At 46.4% G+C, this 23691-nt stretch overlaps 1 protein-coding gene across 2 annotated transcripts in view, besides 6 other annotated features; it reads left to right on the top strand.

Moving 5' to 3' along the window:
- Positions 19796 to 20085: a silencer, noted in NCBI's record as "silent region_4885". NCBI's record gives its function as "represses an Ori minimal core promoter by ATAC-STARR-seq in GM12878 lymphoblastoid cells {active_cell/tissue: GM12878}" and the evidence as "EXISTENCE:reporter gene assay evidence [ECO:0000049][PMID:35858748]".
- Positions 19796 to 20472: a biological region, named in NCBI's record as "H3K27ac hESC enhancer GRCh37_chr12:112819879-112820378".
- Positions 19973 to 20472: an enhancer, noted in NCBI's record as "H3K27ac hESC enhancer chr12:112819879-112820378 (GRCh37/hg19 assembly coordinates)". NCBI's record gives its function as "activates a minimal SCP1, AML or CMV promoter by ChIP-STARR-seq in naive H9 embryonic stem cells {active_cell/tissue: H9 hESC(naive)}" and the evidence as "EXISTENCE:reporter gene assay evidence [ECO:0000049][PMID:30033119]".
- HECTD4 (HECT domain E3 ubiquitin protein ligase 4) overlaps positions 20116 to 23691 on the top strand; it is a 222237-nt gene continuing 218661 nt past the window's right edge. For both annotated transcript variants that reach the window (NM_001388303.1, NM_001109662.4), the window contains exon 1: positions 20116 to 20595. In NM_001388303.1, the coding sequence (NP_001375232.1) occupies positions 20419 to 20595 (177 nt within the window). In that variant the 5' untranslated portion in view covers positions 20116 to 20418. The remainder of the gene's footprint in view (positions 20596 to 23691) is intronic.
- Positions 20196 to 20465: a silencer, noted in NCBI's record as "silent region_4884". NCBI's record gives its function as "represses an Ori minimal core promoter by ATAC-STARR-seq in GM12878 lymphoblastoid cells {active_cell/tissue: GM12878}" and the evidence as "EXISTENCE:reporter gene assay evidence [ECO:0000049][PMID:35858748]".
- Positions 20476 to 20965: a silencer, noted in NCBI's record as "silent region_4883". NCBI's record gives its function as "represses an Ori minimal core promoter by ATAC-STARR-seq in GM12878 lymphoblastoid cells {active_cell/tissue: GM12878}" and the evidence as "EXISTENCE:reporter gene assay evidence [ECO:0000049][PMID:35858748]".
- Positions 21658 to 22158: an enhancer, noted in NCBI's record as "H3K4me1 hESC enhancer chr12:112818193-112818693 (GRCh37/hg19 assembly coordinates)". NCBI's record gives its function as "activates a minimal SCP1, AML or CMV promoter by ChIP-STARR-seq in primed H9 embryonic stem cells {active_cell/tissue: H9 hESC(primed)}" and the evidence as "EXISTENCE:reporter gene assay evidence [ECO:0000049][PMID:30033119]".

The raw sequence follows: 23691 nt of genomic DNA, 5'->3' as shown, positions 1-23691 counted from the left end.
CAACTATATAAATGTGTGCATAAATACAAAAGTTAAAAAGGAATACGATTTACACATGAACTGAAAACATGTCTACACAAAACCTGTACATAATTGTGTATAGCAGCATTATTCATAATTACCAAAACTTGGGAGCAATAAAGATGTCCTTCAACGAGTGAATGGATAACCTTGTGGTACATCCATACAATGGGACATCATTTAGTGATAAAAAGAAATGAGCTATCAAGCAACAACATACGTGGAGGAACTTTAAATACATATTGCTAAGGGAAAGAAGCCCATGTGGAAAGGGCTTCTTTCATATACTGTATCATATTATATACTCTATGATTCCAGGTATTTGACATTGTGGAAAAGGCAAAACTAAGGAGACAGCAAAGAGATCAAAGGTTGCACGTGGGTGGTGGGTGGAGAGGGAGAGATGGACGGGTGGACCACAGGATTTCTAGGACCAGGAATCTATTCTGTATGGTGCTAGAATGGTGGATATATGTCATTATCCATTTGTCAAAACCCATAGAATGTGCAACACAAAGAGCGAACCCTGGCCAGGTGTGGTGGCTCATGACAAAAACAACAAAAAGTGAACCCAAATGCAAACTATAGACTTTGGTTAATAATATATCAATATTGGTTCATCAGTTATAACAAATATACCACACTCATGCAAGTTTTTTTTTTTTTTTTTTTTTTTTTTTTTTTTAGATGGAGTCTCGCTCTGTCACCCAGGCTGGAGTGCAGTGGTGTGATCTCGGCTCACTGCAAGCTCCGCCTCCCAGGTTCATGCCATTCTCCTGCCTCAGCCTCCCGAGTAGCTGGGAATACAGGCGCCCGCCACCATACCCGGCTAATTTTTTGTATTTTTAGTAGGGACAGAGTTTCACCATGTTAGCCAGGATGGTCTCGATCTCTTGACCTCGTGATCCGCCTGCCTCAGCCTCCCAAAGTGCTGAGATTACAGGAGTGAGCTACTGGGCCTGGATTTTTTTTTGTTTCTTGTTTTTTTGTTTGTTTTTTTTTTTTTTTTTTGAGATGAAGTCTCACTCTGTTGCCCAGGCTGAAGTGCAGTGGCGTGTTCCCAGCTCACTGCAACCTCTGCCTCCCAGGTTCAAGAGATTCTCCTGCCTTACATCCCAAGTAGCTGAGACTACAGGCACACACCACCACCACCACACCCGGCTAATTTTTGTATATTTAGTAGACAGGGGTTTTCAACATGTTGGCCAGGCTGGTCTCAAACTCCTGACCTCAAGTGATCCACCCGCCTTGGCCCCCCAAATTGCTGGGATTACAGGCGTGAGCCACTGTGACCAGCTCTTACAGGTAGTTTCTAAGAGCACCTCCCCAGGTAAATCAGTTGCCCAAGAATCGCCATGTCAGGCTGCAGTTACAGGCAGTCTGGCCTTAGACGCCAACCACTTTACCTATCCTTTAAATGTCAGGTGACATTTTGTGTTATGGTGTCTTTATTCATTTATTTTTTTTGAGACGGAGTCTTGCTCTGTCATCCAGGCTGGAGTGCCATGGCACCATCTCAGCTCACTGCAACTCCATCTCCTGGGTTCAAGCGATTCCCCTGCCGCAGCCTCCCAAGTAGATGGGATTACAGGCATGAGCAACCATGCCCAGCTAATTTTTTGTATTTTTAGTAGAGATGGGGTTTCACCATGTTGGTCAGGCTGGTCTCAAACTCCTGACCTCAAGTGATCCACCCGTCTTGGCCTCCCAAAGTGCTAGGATTACGGGCGTGAGCCACCGTGCCCAGCCTGTTATGATGTCTTAAAGGATCAAATAATATTAGCTAATACTGACTGGGTGCAGTGGCTTACGCCTGTAATCCCAGACCTTTGGGAGGCCAAGATGGGAAGATCACTTGAACCCAGGAGTTCAAGACCAGCCCAGGCAACATGATGAGATCCTGTCTATACAAAAAAAAAAAAAAAAAAAAGAAAGAAATTAGCTGGGCGCCTGTGGTCCCAGCTACTCGGGAGGCTGAGGTTGGAGAATCGCTTGAGCCCAGGAGGCAGAGTTTGCAGTGAGCCATGATCATGCCACTGCACTCCAGCCTGGGCAACAGAGCAAGACCCTGTCTCAAAAAAAAAAAAAAGATGAAGAGTAGTAGCAACTATGAGTTTCAGCCTGTTAAACTCAAGACGTGCCAGAAATAATGAATTTTTCAGTTTTTATTTATTTTTTATTTTGGGACAGGATGTCACTCTGTCACCCAGGCTGGAGTGCAGTGGCATCATCACCACTGCTCACTGCATCCTGGACTGCCCTGGCTCAAGTGATCCTTCAGCTTTAGCCTCCTGAGTAGCTGGGACTACAGGTGCTTGCCACCATGCCCAGCTCGTTTTTGTTGTTGCTGTTTGTTTGTCTTTCTGGGTTTTTATTTGTTTTTGCAGAGACAGGGTCTCACCATGTTACCCAGGCTGGTCTTGAACTCCTGGGCTCAAGCAATCCTCCCATGTCGGCTTCCCAAAGTGCTGGAATTATAGGCATGAACCACTGTGCCTGCCCCAGTTTTTAGAAGTCGACTTGCTTCTGACTTTTAAAACCCTGTAGATTAAACTTTAGGTATTCTTAATTTTTTTTTGTCTTTTGGAGACAGTCTCACTCTGTTACCCAGGCTGGAGTGTAGTGGCACCATCTCAGCTCACAGCAACCTCCCCCTTCCGGGTTCAAATGATTCTTGTGCCTTAGCCTCCCGAGTAGCTGGGATCACAGGCACCAGCCACCAAGCCTGGCTAATTTTTTTTTTTTTTTTTTTGAGACAGAGTCTCGCTCTGTTACCCAGGCTGGAGTGCAGTGGTGCAATCTCAGCTCACCACAACCTCTGCCTCCTGGGTTCAAGCAATTCTCCTGCCTCAGCCTCCCAAGTAGCTGGGACTACAGGCATGCACCACCATGCCTGGCTAATTTTTGTATTTTTAGTAGAGACAGGGTTTTACTATGTTGGCCAGGCTGGTCTTGAACTCCTGACCTCGTGATAAGCCTGGCTAATTTTTGTATTTTTAGTAGAGATGGGGTTTCTCCATGTTGGCCAGGCTGGTCTCGAACTCTTGGCCTCAAGTGACCTGCCTGCCTTGGCCTTCCCAAGTACTGGGATTACAGGCGTGCGCCACCGCACCCGGCCTACATTCGGTATTCTTAGGGCTTGAGGTAGATCATATTATTCAAAAGATGGCAACAATATCTCCCACCCAATTTGGTATTCTTTTTTTATTTTTATTTTTTATATATTTTTATTATTATTATTACTATTATTATTATTATTATTATTATTATTTGAGACGGAGTCTTGCTCTGTTGCCCAGGCTGGAGTGCGGTGATGCGATCTCGGCTCACTGCAAGCTCCGCCTCCTGGGTTCACGCCATTCTCCTGCCTCAGCCTCCCTAGTAGCTGGGACTACAGGCGCCCGCCACCACGCCCGGCTAATTTTTTGTATTTTTAGTAGAGACGGCGTTTCACCATGTTAGCCAGGATGGTCTCGATCTGACCTTTTGATCCGCCCGTCTCGGCCTCCCAAAGTGCTGGGATTACAGGCGTGAGCCACTGAGCCTGGCCTATATTTTTGTTTTTTATTATACTTTAAGTTCTGAGATACATGTGCAGAACTTGCAGGTTTCTTACATAGGTACACATGTGCCATAGTGGTTTGCTGCACACATCAACCCATCTTCTAGGTTTTAAGCCCCACATGCATTAGTTATTTGTCCTAATGCTATCCCTCCCCTTGCCCTCAACTCCCTGACAGGCCCCAGTGTTTGATGTTCCCCTCCCTCCTGTGTCCATGTGTTCTTTTTTTTTTTTTTTTTGTTGAGACCGAGTCTCCCTCTGTCGCCCAGGCTGGAGTGCAGTGGCGCAATCTCGGCTCACTGCAACCTCCGCCTCCTGGGTTCACGACATTCTCCTGCCTCAGCCTCCCGAGTAGCTGGGACTATAGGCGCCCGCTACCACGCCCGGCTAATTTTTTGTATTTGTGGTAGAGATGGGGTTTCACCGTGTTAGCCAGGATGGTCTCAATCTCCTGACCTCGTGATCTGCCCGCCTCAGCCTTCCAAAGTGCTGGGATTACAGGCGTGAGCCACTGCGCCTGGCCCTGTCCATGTGTTCTCATTGTTCAGCTCCCACTTATGAGTGAGAACATGTGGTGTTTGGTTTTCTGTTCCTGTGTTAGTTTGCTGAGAATGATGGTTTCCAGCTTCATCCATGTCCCTACAAAGGACATGAACTCATTCTTTTTTATGGCTGCATAGTATTCCATGGTGTATATGTGCCACATTTTCTTTATCCAGTCTATCATTGAAGGGCATCTGGGTTGGTGCCAAGTCCTTGCTATTGTGAATAGTGCTGCAATAAACATACGTGTGCATGTGTCTTTATAGTAGAATGATATATAATCCTCTGGGTATATACCCAGTAATGGGATTGCTGGGTCAAATGGTATTTCTGGTTCTAGAATCTTGAGGAATCGCCACACTGTCTTCCACAATGGTTCAACTAATTTACACTCCCACCAACAGTGTAAAAGCATTCCTATTTCTCCACATCCTCTTCAGCATCTGTTGTTTCCTGATTTTTTAATGATCATCATTCTAACTGGCATGGGATGATTACCTCATTGTAGTTTTGATTCGCATTTCTCTAATGACCAGTGATGATGAGCTTTTTTTCATAAGTTTGTTGGCTGCATAAATGTCTTCTTTTGAGAACTGTCTGTTCATATCCTTCACTCACTTTTTGATGGGATTGTTTATTTTTTTCTTGTAAATTTGTTTAAGTTCCTTGTAGATTCTGGACATTAAAGCTTTGTCAGCCGGGCACGGTGGCTCACGCCTGTAATCCCAGCAGTTTGGGAGGCTGATGTGGGCGGATCACGAGGTCAGGAGATCGAGACCATCCTGGCTAACACGGTGAAACCCCATCTCTACTAAAAGTACAAAAAATTAGCCGGGCGTGGTGGCGGGGGCCTGTAGTCCCAGCTACTCGGGAGGCTGAGGCAGGAGAATAGCGTGAACCCGGCGGGTGGAGCTTGCAATGAGCAGAGATCGCGCCACTGCACTCTAGCCTGGGTGACAGAGCGAGACTCCGTCTCAAAAAAAAAAAGCTTTGTCAGATGTACAGATTGCAAAAATTTTCTCCCATTCTGTAGGTTGCCTATTCACTCTGATGATAGTTTCTTTTGCTGTGCAGAAGCTCTTTAGTTTAATTAGATCCCATTTGTCAATTTTGGCTTGAGAATGGCGTGAACCCGGGAGGCGGAGGTTGCAGTGAGCTGAGATCGCACCACTGCACTCCAGCCTGGGCAACAGAGCGAGATTCTGTCTCAAAAAAAAAAAAAAAAAAATTTCCCTCCAAACACTTCTTTAGCTGTGTCCCAGAGATTCTGGTACATTGTGTTTTTGTTCTCATTGGTTTCAAAGAACTTATTTATTTCTGCCTTAATTTTGTTATTTACCCAGTAATCATACAGGAGCAGGTTGTTCAGTTTCCATGTAGTTGTGTGGTTTTGAGTGAGTTTCTTAATCCTGAGTTCTAATTTGATTGCACTGTGTTCTGAGAGACTGTTATGATTTCCATTCTTTTTCATTTGCTGAGGAGTGTTTTACTTCTAATTATGTGGTCAATTTTAGAATAAGTGCTATGTGGTGCTGAGAAGAATGTATATTCTGTTGATTTTGGGTGGAAAGTTCTGTAGATGTCTATTAGGTCCACTTGGTTCAGAGCTGAGTTCAAGTCCTGAATATCCTTGTTAATTTTCTTTCTCATTGATCTGTCTAATATTGACAATGGGGTGTTAAAGTCTCCCACTATTATTGTGTGAGAGTCTAAGTATCTTTGTAGATCTCTAAGAATTTGCATTATGAATCTGTGTGCTCCTGTACTGGGTGCATATATATTTAGGAGAGTTAGCTCTTCTTGATGCATTGATCCCTTTACCATTATGTAATGCCCTTCTTTTTCTTTTTTGATCTTGGTTGGTTTAAAGTCATTTCTATTGGAGACTAGGATTGCAGCCTCTGCTTTTTTTTTGCTTTCCATTTGCTTAGTAAATATTCCCCCATCCCTTTATTTTGAGCCTATGTGTGTCTTTGCATGTGAGATGGGTCTCCTGAATACAGCACACTGATGGGTCTTGACTCTTTATCCAATTTGCCAGTCTATGTCTTTTTTTTCTTTTCCCGAGATGGAGTCTTGCTCTGTTCCCCAGACTGGAGTGCAGTGGCACAATCTTGGCTCACTACAACCTCCGCCTCCCAGGTTCAAGCAATTCTCCTGCCTCGGCCTCCTGAGTAGCTGGGATTACAGGTGTGAGCCACCACACCCGGCTATTTTTTTTGTATTTTTAGTAGAGATGGAGTTTCACCATGTCAGCCAGGGTTGTCTCAAACTCCTGACCTTGTGAACCACCCGCTTCGGCCTCCCAAAGTGCTGAGATTACAGGTGTAAGCCACCATGCCCAGCCCAGTCTGTGTCTTTTCTTTTTTTTTTGAGATGGAGTCTCACTCTGTCACTCAGGCTGTAGTGCAGTGGCACAATCTTGGCTCACTGCAAGCTCCGCCTCCCATGTTCACGCCATTCTGCTGCCTTAGCCTCCTGAGTAGCTGGGACTACAGGCGCCTGCCACCATGCCTGGCTAATTTTTTGTGTTTCTAGTAGAGACGGGGTTTCACCGTGTTAGCCAGGATGGTCTCGATCTCCCGACCTCGTGATCTGCCTGCCTCGGCCTCCCAAAGTGCTGAGATTACAGGCATGAGCCATGGCGCCTAGCCCAGTCAGTGTCTTTTAATTGGAGCATTTAGCCCATTTACATTTAAGGTTAATATTGTTATGTGTGAATTTGATCCTATTGTCATGATGCTAGCTGGTTATTTTGCACATTAGTTGATACAGTTTCTTCATAGTGTCATTGTTCTTTATATTTTGGTATGTTTTTGCTGTGGCTGGTACCAGTTGTTCCTTTCCATATTTAGTGCTTCCTTCAGGAGCTCTTTTAAGGCAGGCCTGGTGGGGACAAAATCCTTCAGCATTTGCTTGTCTGTAAAGGATTTTATTTCTCCTCCACGATGAAGCTTAGTTTAGCTGGATATGAAATTCTGGGTTGAAAATTCTTTTCATTAAGAATGTTGAATATTGGCCCCCACTCTCTTCTGGCTCATAGGGTTTCTGCAGAGAGATCCGCTATTAGTCTGATGGGCTTCCCTTTGTAGGGAACCTGACCTTTCTCTCTGGCTGCACTTAACATTTTTTCCTTCAGTTCAACCTTGGTGAATCTGATGATTACGTGTCTTTGGGTTGTTCTTATCAAGGAGTATCTTAGTAGTGTTCTCTGTATTTCCTGAATTTGAATGTTGGCCTGTCTTGTTAGGTTGGGGAAGTTCTCCTGGATAATATCCTGAAGTGTGTTTTCTAACTTGGTTCCATTCTCCCCATCACTTTCAGGTACACCAATCAATTGCAGGTTTGGTCTTTTCACATAGTCGTATATTTCTTGGAGGCTTTGTTCATTCCTTTTTATTATTTTTTCTCTAATCTTGTCTTCCCGCTTTATTTTATTAAGTTGATCTTTTCTTTCTTTCTTTCTTTTTTTGAGACAGAGTTTCATTCTTGTTGCGCAGGCTGGAGTGCAATGGTGCAATCTCGGCTCACCGCAAACACCACCTCCCAGGTTCAAGCGATTCTCCTGCCTCAGCCTCCCGAGTAGCTAGGATTACAGGCATGTGCCACCATGCCCTGCTAATTTTGTATTTTTAGTAGAGATAGTATTTCCCCATGTTGGCCAGGCTGGTCTCGAACTCCTGACCTCAGGTGATCCGCCCGCCTCGGCCTCCCAAAGTGCTGGGATTACAGGCGTGAGCCACTGCACCCAGCCTCTATGTTTAATTTTTAAAGGAACTGCCATACTGCTTTCAACATTAAAGTAAATACTTTTTTTTTTTTTTTTTTTTTTTCCTGAGACAGAGTCTCACTCTGTCACCCAGGCTGGACTGCAGTAGGGTGATCTCAGCTCACTGCAACCTCTGCCTCCCAGGTTCAAGCGATACTTGTGTCTCAGCCTCCTGAGTAGCTAGCTGGGATTACAGGTGCACACCAACCATGCCCAGCTAATTTTTTTTTCTTTCTTTCTTTCTTTTGAGACAGAGTTTGCTCTTTCGCCCAGGCAGGAGTGAAGTGACTCAATCTTGGCTTACTGTAACTTCTGCCTCCCAGGTTCAAGTGATTCTTCTGCCTCAGCCTCCCAAGTAGCTGGGATCATAGGCGCCCTGCCACCATGTCTGGCTAAGTTTTGTATTTTTAGTAGAGATGGGGTTTCACCATGTTGGCCAGGCTGGTCTCAAACTCCTGATGTTCGGTGATCCACCTGCCTCAGCCTTCCAAAGTGCTAGGATTACAGGCGTGAGCCACCGTGCTCATCCGCCCAGCTAATGTTTTTGTATTTTTAGTAGAGATGGGGTTTCACCATGCTGGCCAGGCTGGTCTGTAACTCCTGACCTCAAGTGATCCACCTGTCTTGGCCTCCCAAAGTGCTGGGATTACAGGCATGAGCCACTACACCCAGCCTAAAGTATATACTTTTAACTCACTTTATACTACCACAGTTGGAGGCATTTATGAATGGGAAAGAAGTACCTGAGGCTGGGTAATTTTGTTTATTTGATATTTTTTTTGAGATAACGTCTCACTCTGTCACCCAAGCTGGAGTGCAGTGGGTCCATCACAGCTCCCTGCAGCCTCAGCTTTCTGGGCTCAAGCGATCCTCCTGCTTTTCAGCCTCCTGAGTAGCTGGGACTATAGGCATGCACCACAAAGTCCAGCTAATTTCTATTTTTTTTTTCTTTTTGTAGAGATAGGTTTCACCATGTTGCCTGGGCTGGTCTTGAACTCCTTGGCTCAAGTGATCTGCCCACCTCAGCTTCCCAAAAGTGCTGGGGCTATAGGTGTGAGCCACCACACCTGGCCAAGGCTAAGTAATTTATAAAGAGAGAGTGTTTATTTTGGCTCACAGTTCTGCAGGCTGTACAGGAAGCGTGGAATTAACATCAGCTTCTGGTGAAAGCTTCAGGAAGGTTACAATCATGGTGGAAGGTGAAGGGGAGCAGTGTATCAAATGGCAAGAGAGAGAGTAAGAGGTGGGGAGAGGTCCTAGAATTTTTAACAACCAGATCTAGTATAAACTGAGTGAGAACTTAATTATCATCAAGGGTGCTAAAGCATTCACGAGGCATCTTCCCCATGATCCAATCACCTCCCACCAGGCCCCACCTCCAACACTGGAAATCATATTTTTCATATCTCTTTTTGTTGTTGTTTTTGTTTTGTTTGAGACGGAGTCTTGCTCTGTCACCCAGGCTGAATTGCAGTGGCGCGATCTTGGCTCACTGCAACCTCCACCTTCTGGGTTCAAGCAATTCTCCTGTCTCAGCCTCTCGAGTAGCTGGAACTACAGACACATGCCACCACGTCAGGCTAATTTTTGTATTTTTAGTAGAGACAGGGTTTCACCATATTGCTCAGGCTGTTCTTGAATTCCTGACCTCAGGTGATCCACCCGCCTCAGCCTCCCAAAGTGCTGAGATTACAGGCATGAGCCACCACACCCAGAGGTTTTTTGATCGTTTTTTTGAGATAGAGTGTCTCTCTGTTGCCCAAGCTGGAGTGCAGTGGCGCAATCTCAGCTCACTGCAACCTCTGTCTCCCAGGTTCAAGTGATTCTCGTGCCTCAGCCTCCCAAGTAGCTGGGATTACAGGCGCCTGCCACCAAGACCAGCTAATTTTTGTATTTTTAGTACAGACAGGGTTTCACCATGTTAGCAAGGCTGGTCTTGAATTCTTGACCTTAAGTGATCTGTCCGCCTCAGCCTCCCAAAGTGCTGGGATTACAGGTGTGAGCCACTGTGCCCGACCCCGGGAATCATATTTCAACATGAGACATAAAAGGAATAAACATCCAAACCATATACATTTGATTGCAGTTAAGATAAGTACTACTATGAAAAGAAATAGTGTGCAAAAATGACTGAGAAACAGGAGGACCTATTGTGTTTGGGGGAATCAGATGTCCTCTACGAGGAAGCTGATAACTGGAGAATAGGTAGGAGTTTGCCAAGTGAAGCAGGTGGCGAAGGGCATTCTGGCAGGGGGAACAGCAAGTGCAAAGGCCTAGAGGTAGGAAAATGGTACAATTGTTAAAGAAACTGCAAGCAGTCAGGGTGGCTTGCTGAGATGAAGATGGGCATTGTATGCCTAAGATCTCAGAAGCACAGACAACAAAAACAGACAAACAGGACTTAAACCAAAAAGCTTCTGTACAGCAAAAGAAATAATCAAGATAATGAACCAACAACACACACAATGAAAGAAAATATCTGTGGGCCAGGCACAGTAGCTCACACTTGTAATCCCAGCATTTTGGGAGGCCAAGGTGGGCAGATCACCTGAGGTCAGGAGCTTGAGACCAGCCTGGCCAACATGGTAAAACCCCATCTCTACTAAAAATGTAAAAATTAGCTGGGTGTGGTGGCATGTACCTGTAATCCCAGCTACTTGGGAGGCTGAGGCAGGAGAGTTGCTTGAACCCCGGAGATGGATGTTTCAGTGAGCCAAGATTGCACCACTGCACTCCAGCCTGGTCGACAGAGCGAAACTCTGTCTCAAAAAAAAAGTTCGAGACTAGCCTGGCCAACATGGTGAAACCCTGTCTCTACTAAAAATTCAAAATATTTAGCCAGGCGTGGTGGCATGTCCCTGTGGTTCCAGCTACTTGGGAGGCTAAGGCACAAGAATGGCTTGAACTGAGATTGCGGTGAGCCGAGATCGCGCCACTGCTCTCCGGTCTGGGTCACAGAGTGAGACTTTGTCTCAAAAAAAAAAAAAAAGAAAAATAGACATTGCATGTTCTCATTCCTAAGTCAGTGCTAAAAAAGGTGTACACATGGACATAGAGAGTAGAATGATAGATACTGGAGATCAGAAGGATGAGGGGGTGTTAGGGGGTAGATGATGAGAAATTACATAATGGGTACAATGTATACTATTTGGATGACAGATACCCTAAAAGCCCTGACTTGACCACTTCTCATGTAATGTAATTGCATTTCTACCCCATATATATATATATAAATGTCCAACAAGTATACGAAAAAAGACATATATATATGTCTTTATATATATATATGTCTTTATATATATATGTCTTTATATATATATGTCTTTATATATATATATATATATATATATATGTCTTTATATATCTATGTTTTTATATGCATATAAAGATGGGCACTGGCCTGAGATGACCTGAAGCAGGTGACAAGTGAGAGTATACAATGCAAATTATTTTTTGTTTTGTTTTTGTTTGATTTATTTATTTTTCTGAGACCGAGCCTCATTCTGTCGACCAGGCTGGAGTGCAGTGGCACGATCTCCGCTCACTGCAACCTCCACCTCCTGGGTTGGAGTGATTCTAGTGCCTCAGCCTCCTAAGCAGCTGGGATTACAGGGGTCCGCCACCATGCCCGGCTAATTTTTGTATTTTTTTTTAGTATAGGCGGGGTTTCATCATGTTGGCCAGGCTGGTCTCAAACTCCTGGCCTAAGTGATCCGCCCACCTCAGCCTCCCAAAGTGCTGGGATTACAGGCTTGAGCCACCACAGCCAGCCTATTTTATTTTAAAATGTAAATCTTTATATATATATATATTTTTTTTTTTTTTTTAATTATACTTTAAGTTCTAGGGTACATGTGCACAACGTGCAGGTTTGTTACATATGTATACATTTGCCATGTTGGTGTGCTGCACCCATTAACTCACCATTTACATTGGGTATGTCTCCTAATGCTATCCCTCCCCCCTCCCCCCTCCCCCCACCCCACAACAGGCCCCGGTGTGTGATGTTCCCCTTCCTGTGTCCAAGTGTTCTCATTGTTCAATTCCCACCTATGAGTGAGAACATGTGGTGTTTGGTTTTTTGTCCTTGTGATAGTTTGCTGAGAATGATGGTTTCCAGCTTCATCCATATCCCTACAAAGGACATGAACTCATCATTTTTTATGGCTGCATAGTATTCCATGGTGTATATGTGCCACATTTTCTTAATCCAGTCTATCATTGATGGGCATTTGGGTTGGTTCCAAGTCTTTGCTATTGTGAATAGTGCCACAACAAACATACGTGTGCATGTGTCTTTATAGCAGCATGACTTATAATCCTTTGGGTATATACCCAGTAATGGGATGGCTGGGTCAAATGGTATTTCTAGTTCTAGATCCCTGAGGAATCACTACACTGTCTTCCACAATGGTCAAACTAGTTTACAGTCCCACCAACAGTGTAAAAGTGTTCCTATTTCTCCACATCCTCTCCAGCACCTGTTGTTTCCTGACTTTTTAATGATCGCCATTCTAACTGGTGTGAGATGGTATCTCATTGTGGTTTTAATTTGCGTTTCTCTGATGGCCAGTGATGATGAGCCTTTTTTCATGTGTCTGTTGGCTGCATAAATGTCTTCTTTTGAGAACTGTCTGTTCATATCCTTCGCCCACTTGTTGATGGGGTTGTTTTTTTCTTGTAAATTTGTTTGAGTTCTTTGTAGACTCTGGATATTAGCCCTTTGTCAGATGAGTAGATTGCAAAAATTTTCTCCCATTCTGTAGGTTGCCTGTTCACTCTGATGGTAGTTTCTTTTGCTGTGCAGAAGCTCTTTAGTGTAATTAGATCCCATAAAATGTAAATCATTATAAATGAATAGTCTCATGACTTTAACTGTTTTTCTTTCCAATTCTTGGTTCTCTGCCCTCCTTCCCCACATGTTTCTTCCCTAATACTTCCTATCTCAGGGAATCATAGCTCCATTTCTGTTATGGGCTGAACTGTGTCCCTTTGAAAATTTACATGATGAAGTCCTAACCCTCAGTACCTCAGGATGTAATGTTATTTGGAGACAGGGTCTTCAGAGAGAGAGAGAATCAAGTTAAAATGAAGTCCTTAAGATGGGGGCCCAATCCAATATGACTAATGTTCTTGTAAAAAGAGAAAATTTGGGCCAGGTGTGGTGACTCATGCTTGTAATCCCAGCACTTTGGGAGGTCAAGGCGGGAGGACTTCTTGAGTCCAGCAGTTGTAGGCAAGCCTGGGCAACACAGCAAGACCCCATCTTTAAAAAAAAAAAATTAGCCAGGTGTGGTGGCACATGCCTGTAGTCCCGGCTACTAGGGAGGCTGAAGAGGGAGGTTCACTTGAGCCTAGCAGGCTGAGACTGCAGTGAGCCGTGATCGTGCCACTGCACTCCAGCAACAAAGTGAGACCTTGTCTCAAAAAAAAAAAAAAAAAAAGAGAGAGACGAACAAATTTGGACACAGACACACACCAAGGGAAGACAATATACAGAGACATAGGAAGACTATGGTCATCTACAAGCCATGGAGAGAGGTCTGGAATAGATTCTTCTTTCAAAACTCTCAGAAGGGCCAGGTGTGGTGGCTCACACCTCTAATCCTATCACTTTGGGAGGCAGAGGTGGGCAGTTGCTTGAGCTCAGGAGTTCGAGACTAGCCTGAGCAACATGGCGAAACCCTGTCTCTACAAAAAAATACAAAAATTAGCCAGGCATGGTGGTGCATGCCCATGGTCCCAGCTACTCAGAAGGCTGAGGCGGGAGGATCACTTGAGCCTGGGAGGCAGAAGTTGCAGTGAGTTGAGATCGCACCACTGCACTCCAGCCTGGGAAACAGACTGAGACCCTGTCTCAAACAAACAAACAAAGAAACAAACAAAAAATCCTCAGAAGGAACCAACCTTGCTTACTTATGAAGGTAGATACCACCACCATCATCCCAGAAAACTGGGAAACAGGTAGGTGGAATTACTTCTTCATGGTAACATGCAAAAGATCTGGGACCAAATCCAAGCAGTCCATGATTCAAACACCACACTGCATTGCATGTGCTTTTTTTGGTGAATAATAGTATTGAAGTTTCCCCCACCATCCTCACATTCATTAACTCATACGTAGCAGTTACCAGCTTTAAACTCAACATCTTCCGGGAACCTCACCCCCAGACTAGGTGCCCGGACTTCTCATCCCCGTTGGAATGATTCCTTCAAGCAGCCTCCCTGTCTTTCATGAGAAAGGGAAGCTGCCAGTCTCCTTGGGAACTCGATCCTCAAACCTAACTCTGCCTGGCACAGAGTAGGCATTTAATGAATACTGAAGGAACAAAAACGTACAGTGTTTGCTTTTCCTTGAGTGAAAACTCTTCAATAATATCTTTTGTCCACTTTTCCTTTGTGCTAACAACTTTTTTATTTTTATTTTTATTTTTATTTTTTGAGATGGACTCGTTAGGTTGCCCAGGCTGGAGTGCAGTGGCGTAATCTCGGCTCGCTGCAACATTCATCTCCCGGGTTCAAGTGATTCTCATGCCTCAGCCTCCTGGTAACTGGGTAACTGGGATTACAGGCGCGCACCACCACACCTGGCTAATTTTGTAATTTTAGTAGAGATGGGGTTTTGCCCTGTTGGCCAGGCTGGTCTCGAACTCCTGACTTCAGGTGATCCGCCCACCTCGGCTTCCCAAAGTGCTGGGATTACAGGCATGAGCCATAACTTTTTGTTTTTGTTTTTTTGTGTTTTTGTGAGACGGAGTCTCGCTCTGTTGCCCAGACTGGAGTGCAGTGGCGCGATCTCGGCTCACCGCAAGCTCCGCCTCCTGGGTTCACGCCATTCTCCCGCCTCAGCCTCCCGAGTAGCTGGGACTACAGGCGCCTGCCACCGCGCACGGCTAGTATTTTTAGTAGAGACGGGGTTTCACCGTGTTAGCCAGGATGGTCTCTATCTCCTGACCTCGTGATCCACCCGCCTCGGCCTTCCAAAGTGCTGGGATTACAGGCGTGAGCCACCGCGCCCGGCCACAACTTTTTCTTAATCTAATTTTTTTGCAGGAGACGAATGTTAGCAAATTTCCAAGTCTGAACTACAAATCCCAGTGCAGCAAGGCCTGTGATGCACACAAGGTGGCGATGGAGGACATAGCATCTTTCAGAGCTCCCTGCTGCTGATGATCTTTTCAAATGAGAAAGGCATTTAATGCTGCTTCATCTTCTGGCTTTTCATCAATGTGGAGACCCGTCCTTTAGTTTTAGCAATTCAGTGGTGCTCCAAGGAGAATTTCCCCCTCCTCGTTTTCAAATATCTCTTTCATCTGATTTCTTTTCCCTGTTACCACATAGATCCACCCATGAGCCAAAATAATCTTCTTTGAAATAAAAATATGAACAGGGCCTACCAGAACACTTGGAAAAAAGATTTTGAGTAGGTGTGTGTGTTTCCTCTTTGAGACTGTAATTAGTAAGACGGAAATAATCAATCTCCCCCATAGGTTCTGTGTGTGTGTGTGTGTGTGTGTGTGTGTATTTTTTCCTTGGTGTTTTGAAAGGCCTTAAAAATTAACATGGCTGCCTCATCTAAAACCACCTTTAAGCTCTAATAAAGTTTATCAAGGACCACTTATCTTCACACCACACTCACATATTTTTGGACCCAGGAAGGATTACGAAGTCATTTTAGACAGTCAGCTGGTATAGAAAACCAGCAGAAGGGAGAGATATTGCAAAATCCCAGAGGGGCCCCAGCTTGAGCCAGGGCTAGCGAGTATCACGTCAGCAGCTGGGGCAGGAGGGAGATGATCTCCATCAACAAGCCTGCTGCTCCCTCTTGGGGAGATGCCTCCCAGGAGTAACTGAGGTCCAACCTAGTCATAGCTATTCTTCCTATTTTCCTCATATTTCTTCTCTGCTTCTAACTTAGGGTTGCCCAGCCAACACTTTCTCTTGCTCCTTTTCCCATCCTGATCCCCCATTCTTGAATAGAAGAGTAGAAATGACGATTCCAAAGAAAAGAAGTCATAAGCCATAAATCTTTCCTTCCTATAAATGAATGTCTTGTGTGTGTATGTGTGTGTTGTCTAGACTAGATACAGATTCTCTTCCTCGTAGCTTCCAACCTAAAGTTCTTTTGACCAGGCATTTTCTTTGTCTTGCTGATCTGTTCTAGAAATCCCTACTAAATGGTCTCCTTTCCGGAGGGGGTTCTATAAATATTAATTCATCAGCTGCCTCATCATGGTGCAGTGGCAGCCATGCAGTCCTATGACTAATTAATTACTGTTGCTAAAATATTAAATAACTATTCATTATGCAGTCTAAAGACTTTAAGCCCTAGATCTGTGCTGTTTTCATCACTTAGGCTGAAGGACAAGAGTTCCTGGGCACCTTGACTCCTGATCTTAAAACATCATTAAGAGTAGAAGAAATAAGACTAAGTATAGAAGAAATTTTATCTGAACTATTTAAGATGGTTAGAGTCCTGAATCTAAGCATTTAAAAATTGTGATGGGCCGGTCATAGTGGCTCATGCCTGTAATCCCAGTGCTTTGGGGAGGCCAAGGTGTGAATATCACGTGAGGCTAGGAGTTGGAGATCAGCCTAGGCAACACAGGCAGAGCCCATCTCTAAAAAAATTTTTTTAAAAATGAAAAAATACCAGCCTGGCCAACATGGTGAAACCCCATCTCTACTAAACGTACAAAAGTTAGCCGGGTGTGGTGGTGGGTGCCTGTAATCCCAACTACTCGGGAGGCTGAACCAGGAGAATCACTTGAACCCGGGAGGCGGAGGTTGCAGTGAGCCAAGATCTAGCCATTGCACTCCAGCCTGGGTGACAGAGTGAAACTCCATCTCGAAATAAATAAATAAAATAAAATGGGCCAGGCGCAGTGGCTCATGCCTGTAATCCCAGCACTTTGGGAGGCCGAGGTGGGTGGATCACCTGAGGTCAGGACTTTGAGACCAGCCTGACCAACATGGTGAAACCCCGCCTCTACTAAAAATACAAAATTGGCCGAGCGTGGTGGTACATGCCTGTAATCCCAGCTACTCGGGAGGCTGAGGCAGGAGAATCACTTGAACCCAGGAGATGGAGGTTGCAGTGAGCCAAGATTGCACTACTGCACTCCAGCCTGGGTGACAGAGCAAGACTCTGTCTCAAAAAAAATAAAATAAAATAAATAATAGAGACAGGGTCTCTCTCTGTCACCCAGGCTAGAGTGCAGTGACACAACCATGGCTCATTGCAGCTTCAACCTCCTGGGCTCAAGCAATCCTCCCACCTCAGCCTTCTAAGTAGCTAGGACTACAGCTGCACATCACGATGCTCACCTAATTTTGCTTGTTTATTTATTTATTTATTTATTTAGAGACAGCGTTGCACTCTTGTTGCCCAGGCTGGAGTGCAATGGCGCTATCTCGGCTCACCGCAACCTCCGCCTCCTGGGTTCAAGTGATTCTCCTGCCTCAGCCTCCTGAGTAGCTGGGACTACAGGTGCACGCCACGACACCTGGCTAATTTTTATATATTTTTTAGTAGAGAAAGGGTTTTGCCATGTTGGCCACGCTGCTCTCGAACTCCTGACCGCAGGTGATCTGCCTGCCTCAGCCTCCCAAAATGCTGGGATTACAGGTGCAAGCCACCACATCCAGCCTATATATATATTTTTAATTGTGATAGATAGTTGTTATTAGGTTTGGAAAAGGGAATGAAGGGCCGGGCGCGGTGGCTCACACCTGTAATCCCAGCACTTTGGGAGGCCGAGGCGGGTAGATCACGAGGTCAGGAGTTCGAGACCAGCCTGACCGACATGGTAAAACCCCGTCTCTACTAAAAATACAAAAATTAGCCAGGCATGGTGGTGCACGCCTGTAATCCCAGCTACTCGGGAGGCTGAGGCAGGAGAATCACTTGAAACCAGGAGGCAGAGGTTGCAGTGAGTCAAGAGGTTGCAGTGAGCCGAGATCATGCCATTGCACTCCAGCCTGGGCAACAGAGCAAGACTCCGTCTCAAAAAAAAAAAAAAAAGGAATGAAGGAGTTTTCTTACAGTCAAAATAAGGAAGCTGAAGTTGTAAAATCGGACAGACCTGGGTTTACATCTGAGCTTTGATGTTTACTGGCTTTGTGACATTGAGCAAAGTATCTAACTGAGTCTTGACTTCCCAGCTGAAAGTAGGAATAATAATACTCCCCCTCTCAGACATTTGGGAGGATTTGATGAAATGGCCATTCCATTACACTTGCCTGTTTTATTGTTTCCATGGTTCTGATCAACTCTGAACTGCTGGATTTATTGTTCTCTTCTTCCTCCTCTTCCTCTTCTTTTCTTCTTTTTTGAGACAGGGTCTTACTCTGTTGCCCAGGCTGGAGTGCAGTGGCATAATCTTAGCTGAATCACTGCAACTTCTGCCTTCTGGGCTCAAACGATCTTCCTGCTTCAGCCTCCTGAGTAGCTGGGACTATGGGTGTGCACCACCACGCCTGGCTAATTTTTGTATTTTTTGTAGTGACGGGGTTTTGTCATGTTGCCCAAGGGGGTCTCGAGCTTCTGGGCTCAAGAGATCTGCCAGCCTTGGCCTCCCAAAGTGTTGGGATTACCCACGTGAGCCACTGTGCCCGGCCATAATATTCCATCTTATGGATATATCATATTTTAGTTAACCAGCCCCATATTGTTGGACATCTAGATTGATAAGTTTTTCCTTTTGTAAACAATATTGAGCTACACAACCCTGTATATCCATCCTTGACTACGAGTCTGATTATTTCCTTCAGACAACTTCCTCAAAGTTGAATTGCTGGATCAAAGGGTATGCACCTTAATGTTCTCCTGTTATTGTTATTGTTATTATTATTATTATTATTATTATTGAGATGGAGTCTTGCTCTGTTGCCCAGGCTGGAGTGCAGTGGCATGATCTCGGCTCACTGCAACCTCCGCCTCCTGGGTTCCAGCTATTCTCCTGCCTCAGCCTCCTGAGTATCTGGGACTACAGGCATGTGCAACCATTCCTGGCTAATTTGTGTATTTTTTTTAGCAGAGACAGGGTTTCATCATGTTGACCAGGCTGGTCTCGAACTCCTGACCTCAGGTGATCTGCCCACCTTGGCCTCCCAAAGTGCTGGGATTACAGGTGTAAGCCACTGTGCCCGGCCTGTTTTATTATTTTTTAAGTGATAAAAATATACAAGTAATAGAGAACAATCTCATCTCAGTAGTTCCAGACCAGCCCCACACTCCCATGGCAACTCACCTTAAACATCTGGTGTGTATTTGTTCATGCATTGTTCTTTATACATATAGTTTTCCTTTCTTGTTTTTATAAAATGGCACTGGTGGGCATATATATATTTTTGGTGGGGAGGGAGGGATGGGGTCTCCCTCTGTCGCCCGGGCTGGAGTGCAGTGGCAAGATAATAGCTCACTGCAGCCTCCACCTCCTGAGTTCAAGAGATCCTCTTGCCTCAGCCTCCCGAGTAGCAGGACTACAGACGCTTGCCACCCTGCCCCGCTAATTTTTATTTTTTGTAGAGATGGGGTCTCCCTATGTTGCCCAGGCTGGCCTCAAACTTCTGGGCTCAAGCAGTCCTTCTGCCTTGACCTCCGTGCTGGGATTACAGGTGTGAGCCACCGCACCCGGCCTAGTGAGCATATTTTTAAGGTGTATGTCAATTAGTGTGGAACACTGATGGAACGAACATAGCAATAATTAGAATTGCCACTCATGGAGCACATATTAAGTGTCGGGCATTGAGCACCAAGCATTGTGGACAGACGCTTTATTTTCACCAGGTTTTGAGTGCTTACTGGGTACTAGACTTTTCAGTCAATATTAATCATCTACTATGTGATTCTACCAAGTGCTTATGAACAAGTGTGCAGCGCCTATTCTGCGCCAGCCTTTTGCTTGCATCTCATTTAAACGTGAAAACAAGGAGTGATCTCTATGCTCTGCCCAGGGTGGGGGCGCGGGCCCGAGCAAGGGGTGCACACCTGAGTAGGGACAGGACGGGGGAAGCGGCGTCCTCTTCCCTGGCGCGCTGCAAAGCCAGGGCTACCCTGAATGGCCAGGGGGAGAAGGGGCCGGCGGAGGTCAGGCCGAGGGCAGGCGGCAGCGAAGGGCTAGGCGGACGTCCAGGCCACCCGGGTGGCCTCGTCCGCGGAGCGGTGGGCGGAGCGGCGGGCGGGGCCTGTATTGTCCGCTCCGCGAGGCATGCCGGGAGCCCCGCCCCCAACATGGCGTCTCACTGACAGTTGGTTGCCGAGCGGCAGAGGCGGATCCTGCTCCTGAGGGCGGCGGCGGCGGCGGCGGCGGCGGCGGCGGCAGGGCCGGGGTCTCCCGGGCCGGGGTCGGGGGTATGGCGACTCGGACCGCCTAGGGCGGAGTTGCACGGGCGAGGCAGCAAGTGGGGCGCCGCTGGCGGGCGCGGCGGCCGCTGCCATGGACTGGTGATCGCGGCGGCTCCTGCTCCGTTTCCCCCGGCCGGGCGTCTGCTCCTCAGCGCCAAGCCTTCAGCCGGGGCCATGGGCTCGTCGGCGGCCGCGGCGGCGGCGGCGGCGGCGGCCGCTGACTCGGCGCAGTGGCTCTCGGTGAAGGAAGAGACCATCTTCCTGCACGACGGGCTGATCCGGGTCACCGACCTGGCCGAGCTGCCCAGCGAGATCCTCGGGGCCCCAGAGGCCGCGGACACCGACCTGGAGGTGAGCGAGGCGGCCCCCGGCCCCCGCCATCGGACTGACCCACTCGCCCGGCACCCCCGGGTCGGGCCCCCTCCTCGCCTCAGCCGCGGCCTCGCCTCCCGGCGGCTGCCGGGGCAGGTGTGTGTGGGCGCGGGGCGGGCAGGTGGGGCCGCGGCCGCAGGTCTGCGGACCGCCCGCCCCGCTCTCCCTCCCTCCCTCCTCGGGGCCTGGCGCCCGCAGGGGATTTCATTTGTGGTTTTCTTTTGAGCGTTCCGACACCCGGCATTTTATTAGGCTAGCGCCTGGCTCGGCCTTCATGCCCCAGAGGAGCCACCGCCACCACCCGGGCCCTCCCTCCCCTCCCCCACGGGCCCCCAGGACCCACTTCCAGGGCACACCCAGGTTGCTTAGCTTTGGGAACATTTTGATTTTCACGCTGTGTACCCTCCCATCCTTTTCTTCCCTAGTTCTGTTTTTTTTGTTTGGTTTGGTTTGGTTTTTTTCCGGGAGAGGGTAGTGGCAGCTGCGGGTCCGCGATGGGCAATCCAGCAACTTCTCTGTGTTGTGTCTCGGATGGATTGACACGGGGCCTTTGTCAGGGAAGCGGGCGCTGTGGACAGCGAGAGGGATGCTCCAGCGGCCCTCCATGCACTCTCGGGGAAGGGTCACTGGCGCGTTAGGCCGCAGGGCCTTTTTGTGTGCCCCGGGGGTCGCCAAGCATCCCGGGTTCAGAGCCGTGGCAGGTGCAACAGCAGATCTCATCAGTTGAGCTGCTTGGCCTTGGGGGCAGAAGGGAACCAAATATGCCTGGTTGGTGGGAACTTTCCATCGACTTCACTTGGGTTCGTGTTTGCCTAGAGGTGGGAATACTGGCAGTGTCGTTTCATGGAGGCCAACGGATGCTGACACTGCTCCCCTTCCACTTTGTGGGATGACATTTTGATGTGTAGGTAGCATGGGGTGTCATCAAATTTTTACTGCCGTAAGGAGAGCTTTCTGGGGTAGGGCGCAGAGAGGATGGCCTATCTTCTGGCTATAAACGGCATGCGAGGGATCTTTTGTGTTTTGCGGTTTTGCGTGCAGTTTGGCTTTACGCACAACGAACATTTATAGAAATGAATTAAAAGCCATTACTGTGTGTTTCTGGAAACGGCAGTGATCGGATCACATTGGCCGAGACATTTGGACGTGCTTGAGATGCGAATACGTTCCACTGTATTTTTGTGTCTGGATTTGCGGTTGCTTCAGCACTTCCGTTATGAACTCTTAATTGACTTATTTTACAATCTAGTCACCAAAAAGAGGAGGATATGGTTGGTAGGGAATTCCTAACATGGAATCATCGTTTTATTGTGTCTCATTTGGGCCTGTTCTATAACAAGCAAGGTGTGTCTGAGTGTCTTATCTGCCTGAAAACTCAAGGGGTATTATGCTATGATAGTGGAATCTTTTGATTTAATTGGCTGTGTTGTGTGTGAAAGGTGGAAAGTGGATGCTCTTTGTTTCTTTCTTTTCTTTTTTTTCCCCCGAGACCGAGTCTTGCTCTGTCGCCCAGGCTGGAGTGCAGTGGCGCGATCTCAGCCCACTGCAGCCTCTGCCTCCCGGATTCAAACGATTCTCCTGCCTCTGCCTCCCGAGTTGCTGGGATTACAGGCACGCGCCACCATGCCTGGCTAATTTTTGTATTTTTAGTAGAGACAGGGTTTCACCATGTTGGCCAGGCTGGTCTCGAACTCCTGACCTCAAGTGATCTGCCTGCCTTGGCTTCCCAAAGTGCTGAGATTACAGGCGTGAGCCACTATGCCGTGCCTATGCTCTTTGTTTCTTAAAGACTAATCCAAGTTCACAGAACCAAAATTTATACATATATGTCATTTATGTAGTTTATTTTTAGGATTAGAAAGAGTAGGATTAGTTAAAATATCTGTGATGTTGGTTTTCCTAAAATGTTTATAAATGTATTGCGTGAATTTGTCAGCTATTTCCACAGAAGAATGGTTTTCAAAGGAAAGAACCTCTCTGGCCTGCTAGATTTTTTTTTTTAATTGCTTTTTAAATTTATGGTCTGATTTCTCAGCAACTAGTATGTGTATGGGTGATAAACATTTATGACTGGTAGTAGTGAATAACTTGTTTCATTCTTTCCATGTTATACAGGCTCCATGGTATCAGGAGAAATAGATAGCTAAGAATGTTTTTGTGGCTATTAGATTTGTGTTTGTGTGGGTGTATTCACATATATATATATATATATAAAAAATCTTTTTATTTTTTATTTTGAGACAGGGTCTCTCTCTGTTGCCCAGGCTAGAGTGCAGTGGCTCCATCTCAGCTCACTGCAACCTCCACCTCCCGGGTTGAGGCAATTTTCCTGCCTCAGCCTCCCAAGTAGCTGGGATTACAGGCATACACCACCATGCCGGGCTAATTTTTGTATTTTTAGTAGAGACAAGGTTTTGCCATGTTGGCCAGGCAAGTCTCGAACTCCTGACCTCAGGTGATCCGCCTGCCTTGGCCTCCCAAAGTGCTGGGATTACAGGCATGAGCCACCATGCCCAGCACATATTTAATTACTTAATAATATTGATTAAATGTATCCTACATGTCAGGCATTATTTTATTAAATTCTCAAAAGAGCCTAACAATTGGAAATATTGCACTCATTGTACAGATGAAGGAAGTGCAGAGTAGGTATTCGACTTGTTCAAGAGCACATGAAGAGCTTGCACGTTAACCTAGTTCTGTTCACTGCACATCTGCTCCTCATCATAATATTTTATTGCCTCCATGCATGTATAGTATTTTTATTTGCAATTATTTTAAATTTCATAACTGGCTACAGAAGGAAGAATCTCTATTTTCTTTTAGTAACTGTTTCTTTTTCATATTTGAGGAAGATTCGTGGTCTATTAATTTTTGGTTTTTTTTTTTGAGACGGAGTCTTGCTCTGTCGCCCAGGCTGGAGTGCAGTGGCACAATCTCAGCTCACTGCAAGCTCCGCCTCCTGGGTTCACACCATTCTCCTGCCTCAGCCTCCCCAGCAGCTGGGACTACAGGCGCATGCCGCCACACCCAGCTAATTTTTGTATTTTTAGTAGAGACGGGGTTTCACCATGT

Source organism: Homo sapiens, chromosome 12 (genome assembly GCF_000001405.40).
Source record: "Homo sapiens chromosome 12, GRCh38.p14 Primary Assembly".
Classification (NCBI taxonomy): Eukaryota; Metazoa; Chordata; class Mammalia; order Primates; family Hominidae; genus Homo; species Homo sapiens.
Note: the sequence above shows the minus strand (reverse complement) of the source record. Positions and strands in the feature narration are given on the sequence as shown.